Genomic DNA, 5,757 nt, shown 5'->3' with positions numbered 1-5,757 from the left:
GCTGAAAATTTGTTGTTTAGTGTAGCCACTCATCTATTATCTTAGCTAGATCGTCTGGATAACTTGCTGCAGCTTCTACATCAGCACTTCCTGCTTCACCTTGCACTTTTATGTTCTGGAGATGGCCCCTTCCTCTTTCTTTCTTTCTTCCTTTCTTCCTTTCTTCCTTTCTTCCTTCCTTTCCTTTCCTTCCTTTCCTTCCTTTCCTCTCTTTCCTCTCTTTCTCTCTTCCTCTCTTCCTCCCTCCCTCCCTCCATTCCTTCCTTCCTTCCTTCCTTCCTTCCTTCCTTCCTTCCTTCCTTTCTTCCTTCGTTTCCTCTCTCTCTTTCTTTCTTTCCTTCTTTTTTTGACAAGTGTCAGGCTCTGTCACCCAGGCTGGAGTGCAGTGGCACAATCTTGGCTCACTGCAACCTCCACCTCCCGGGCTCAAGCCATCCTCCCACCTCAGCCTCTTGAGTGGTTGGAACTACAGGCATGTGCCAGTACATCCAGCTAATTTTTAATTTTTTTGTAAAGAAGTCTTGCCATGTTTCCCAGACTGGTCTCAAACTCCTGAGCTCAAGCAATCTGCCTGCCTCAGCCTCCCAAAGTGCTGGGATTACAGGCATGAGCCACCATGCCTGGTGGCTTCTTTCCTTAAACTTCATGAACCAACCTCTGCTAGCTTCCAGCTTTTCTTCTGCAGCTTCCTCACCTCTCTCAGCCTTCACAGAATTGAAGAGAGTTGGGACCTTGCACTGGATTAGGTTTTGGCTTAAGGGAATGTTGTGGCTGGTTTGATCTTCTATTGAGACCACTAAAACTTTCTCCCTATCAGCAGTAAGACTGTTACATTTTCTTATCATTCATGTGTTCACCAGAGTAGCACTTTTAATTTCCTTCAATAGCTTTTCCTTTGCATTCACAACTTGGCTAACTGGCACAAGAGGCCTAGCTTTCAGTGTATCTCTGCTTTCAATATGCCTTCCTCACTAAGCTTAATCATTTCTAGCTTTTGATTTAAAGTGAGAATCATATAACTCTCCCTTTTACTTGAACACTTAGAAGCCACTGTAGAGTTATTAATTGGCCTAACTTCATTGTTGTTATGTCTCAGGGAATAGGGAGGCCTGAGAAGAGGGAGAGAGATGGGGGAATGGCCAACTGGTGGAGCAGATGGAACATACACAACATTTATTCATTAAGTTCACTGTCACATGGGCATGGTTTGCATTGCCCCAAAGCAACTACAATAGTCACATCAAAAATCACTGATTACAGATCATCATAACAGATACAATAATAATGAAAAAGCTTGAAATATTGTGAGAATTACCAAAAGGTGACACAGAGACGTGAAGTGAGCACATGCTGTTGGAAAAATGACACTGATAGACTTGCTCCATGCAGAGTTGCCACAAAACTTCAATTTATAAAAAGCACAATATCTGCTAATGTCAATAAAGTGGAATGCATTGAAACTAGTTATCCCTGTATTTATTGCTAATTAAAAAATATAAAAATACAACTATAACCACAATATGATTATCATACCAAATTAACAATAATTGCTAATAGCATCTAACTCCTAGTCTATTTAAATATCTCTCTTGGTCTGATGTCTCATAATCCTTTCTAAACACACAATACTATTGGCTTCAGGCTGCCCCCAGTAGACATCTTTTCCCTTACATTCTCTTTATTCCTATACTTCATCGGGACTGAGGGACCAGGATTTTTCAAACAATATACCAGCTTCTCTAGAGGCTTTGACTTGGGCTGCTGACAGAGAAATCTTTATTAAATCCTTGAGAGTGATATTATTCAAGAGACATACAAGGGAGATGAGTGACGAGAAGAGGAGGTGCTATTAGGAAAGTGGCCCCAGGACATCAGATTTATCACAGAATCCTTTCCATGAGTCAGTTAATCTTTTCCATTTTAGTTTCAGGGAGGATATTTAACCCCATGGAATTAGGAGTTCTTTCCTACTTTTGCCAAACTGCTAAAGCCAATGAATATTCAAGTGAAACCTTATCCAAATTTGGGGCTCTGCTGACCACTGAGGACCCTTTGTCTGAGTTATTGCTCCTGAAATCTTCACACAGCTGTCTCTGGAGAGAGAAATATAGGGGCCAAGTTTCTTGGATGAGCTGCAGTCAGTTTTCCAAGGATATGGTTGATCCCAGAAAATACACAGCTAATTTATAAGACACTAGGAAGAAGGCAGTTGCCTTGAGGATAGCATATTGAGGATTCCAGAGGTCAAAAACTGACCTTAGTCAATATGGGAAACTCTCACTAGTATGAGCCAAAGAAGCCTGCATGAAGCTATAGGCCATCTAAAAATCCCTGACAATGCAAAAGAGGTCAAAAATGAACATCTTGAAATACAGACTGTTTCTGTATTGGCTGAGAGACTGATGGTATCTCATCTGGCCAGAAGGAAGTCAGGGAGTCAGGAACTCCTTCCTTCTAGTGGTCCTGATCCTAGGATTTAACCATTATTTTCAGTTTAACAAATATATATATATTCTTCTTATGGAAGAAGAAGATTGTTTCCACGGTCTTTGAGTCCATAGAAGCCAATAAACCACGTTAAACACAGCCTCAGATTATCTGTCTTCCTTCTTCTTAATGCCTCTGCAAGATCACGCATTATCTCATAGGATTGGTATGTGACAGATTCTATTTTGAGTCTTCCGATGATTCCTTCATTTAGTCTTTCTGAGAACCAGAGTTCAGAAGAATCCGTGCAACTGGGAGTTGCCCTCAGTTAACTAGATCTTGCAGTCCTAATTTCAAAGAGGTCAGTGTCTTTTAAAGGGCCATGTGGAGGCTCCCATGTATTTAGGAGAATGAATTCCTTGTGCTAAGAAGTTATCTACAGAGCATCCTTGACAGAGTTCTGTTCGGTGATGTAGTGACATAAGATGTCTCTGACTGAAGAACTTTTTGAGTGCTTAAATAATGGGACTGTTTTAGCGAACCCAATAAACCCAAGTTAATGAAACTCTCCATTGATAGGGAGACGATTCATTCCCAATGAAACTAGCAAGACTTTTTAGAAGATGCTGCAGCTTTCAGCTGCCGCAATCATCATGCCATCTTCTTTACTGATATTTGGCTTGTTCACATGGTTAGTTCACATGTAATTACCCACTCAAAAAGGGCTTTTCATATCTGCCATTCCAAACTCCAGGCATGGCACATTGATCTTGAGTGTCTGTGGGGGGTTAAAGTAGTAGTAAATGGTTAAGCTCTACACTTAAAAATGGTTAAAGTGGTAAGTACATACATTTACCACTTCAACCGTTTTTTTTTTTTTTTTTAAAGAAGTCATAAACAGCATTTATTACCTTGGTATATCATACTGGTCTTGTTGCTGTTCCTTCGCATTTAAGTGGCTTTCCATCTTTCCTCCCTCCTCCCACAGTCTGGCTACACAGTGCATCCCTGAACTGTTAGCCCACAGCAGCAATATGCTTATTCCATCCACATCCCTAACATCATGCGTTCACAAAGTGAAAGTTCTGGTCCACAAACCCTTCCCTATAGGACGTTCAATGGTTGCGAAAGAATTTGTAGTAAACCAGGCCTCCCAGGATGGCAAGCTCCAGTAAGATGATGATGGAAAGCAGCAGCTTGTTGGTTGTCACTTTTCTGGACATTGAACGGAGAATCTTTCGACTGTTGCCCAAGTTTTCACTTGTGTTTACCAGTCTACTCTTGGTGCGTTCTAACTGGTCTCGTTGTTCTCCCAGCTCTTCTATGATTTCTGAGCCAATCTGGTCAGTCTCCGTGGCAATCTGATGAGAATGTTCAATACTTTGGGTGGCCTGTTTTAGGCTTTCAGTGCCTTGCGGAAGCGTTGCCCTTTGAGACTGTAAGCTGATTCATATGCTCAGTCTCTACAGCATATATGCCATATTTCATGTCTCCTCGGCCTCCAGGTGTGGCTGTCAAAGGTGTGCTTCTCACCTCCCGATGGAGTTTGGCAAGGTCCTTTTGGTAGTTTCGAAGCTTAGACATCATGGGGTTACAGAAAGACAGGGGTGCATAACGTAGCTCCTCCTCCATCTCTGCCAACGTTTCATTTGCTTCCTGTTGCTTTTCATCAAAATCCCTGATTAACTTCTTCTTCTCTTCGGTCCCCGCCGCCCCCAGCAGCCGCTCGGGCACCCCTTGTAGGTCTTCATGGAGGCCGCGGAAGATCTCGTACAGCTTCTCGAAATGCTCTGAGGAGGCGGTGAAGGTGGCCATGGCACAGGCCGCGCTCTAGCAGCGGCCACCGAGATCCGGGGCGCTGGGCCCTCTCCTAGCCCGGGGGTCAGCCGCCAAGCCCAGTGACCATCATGGCGACCGCCGTGCCACCGCAGCCCAGGACCGCTTTAACCATTTTTAAGCGTAGAGTTCAGTGGCATTAAGTATATTCACATGGTTGTACAACCATCACCATCGTCCACCTTCAAACTCTTTTCGGCTTGCAAAACTGAAACTTTACATCCATTAAACAACTCCTCATTTTCCCCTTCCTCTGCCCCTGGTAATCATCTCTGTTCCACTTTCTTTCACCATGAATTTTAGGGTACCTCATATAAATGGCATTGTATAGCATTTCTTTTTATGTGACTGGCTTATTTCACTTAGCATAATTTTTTTTTCTTTTTTTTTTTTTTGAGACAGAGTCTCGCTCTGTCGCCCAGGCTGGAGTGCAGTGGCGTGGTATCTGCTGACTGCAAGCTCCGCCTCCCGGGTTCACGCCCTTCTCCTGCCTTAGCCTCCCAAGTAGCTGGGACTACAGGCGCCCGCCACCGCGCCCGGCTAATTTTTTGTATTTTTTTTTTTTTTTAGTAGAGATGGGGTTTCACCGTGTTAGCCAGGATGGTCTCGATCTCCTGACCTCGTGATCCACCCACCTCGGCCTCCCAAAGTGCTGGGATTATAGGCGTGAGCCACCGTGCCTGGCCAGCATAATGTTTTTAAGGTTCATCCATGTTGTTGTAGCATGTGTCAGAATTTCCTTCCTTTTTAAGGCTGAATTATAGACCTTTGTATGTATATGCCCCATTTTGTTGATCCAGTCATCTCTCAGTGGATACTTGGGTTGTGTCTACCTTGTAGCTATTGTAAATAATGCTGCTGTGAACATGAGCAGGTATATACCTAGGGGTGAAATTGTTGAATAATATGGTAGTTCCATTTTCAAGTTTTGGAGGAACTGCTATACTGTTCTCCCTAGTGGCTGCACCATTTTACATTCCTACCAGCAATGAACAAGGGCTGCAATCACTCCACATCTTTGCCAAAAGTTGTTATTATTATTTTTTTAAATAACAGTCATCCTAATTGGTGTGAAATTGTATCTAATTGTGGTTTTGATTTGCATTTCTCTAATCATTAGATGTTGACCATCTTTTCATGTGTTTATTGGCCATTTGTACGTCTTTGGAGATTTTTTTCAAGTCCTTTTGCTCATTTTCAACTGGGTGTTTTGGTTTTTGTTGTTGAGTTGTAGGAATTTTAAAAAATATATTCTGGATATTAATCTTTTATCAGATACATGATTTGTGCATATTTTCTCCCATTCTGTGAGTTGCGTTTTCATTCAGTTGATAGTGCCTTTTTTCTCCTTCACCATTGGTCATATTTCAGAGGCAGAGGATTTATTTGAGTAGAAGTAGTCATGAAATAGACATGAACTTTACCATTAATAGGCAGCTGGATTTTTTTTAATTGTTGCTATTTTGCTATTTTATTTTCAAGGTCTCTTTCAGT

General features: G+C 42.3%; 1 pseudogene; it reads right to left on the bottom strand.

The window, feature by feature from the left end:
- Positions 1-3,345: 3,345 nt before the first annotated feature.
- On the bottom strand, positions 3,346-4,366 carry VTI1BP1 (vesicle transport through interaction with t-SNAREs 1B pseudogene 1; annotated as a pseudogene).

This window comes from Homo sapiens, chromosome 3 (assembly GCF_000001405.40).
Source record: "Homo sapiens chromosome 3, GRCh38.p14 Primary Assembly".
Lineage (NCBI taxonomy): Eukaryota > Metazoa > Chordata > Mammalia > Primates > Hominidae > Homo > Homo sapiens.
This window is presented reverse-complemented; position numbering and strand designations above follow the sequence as displayed.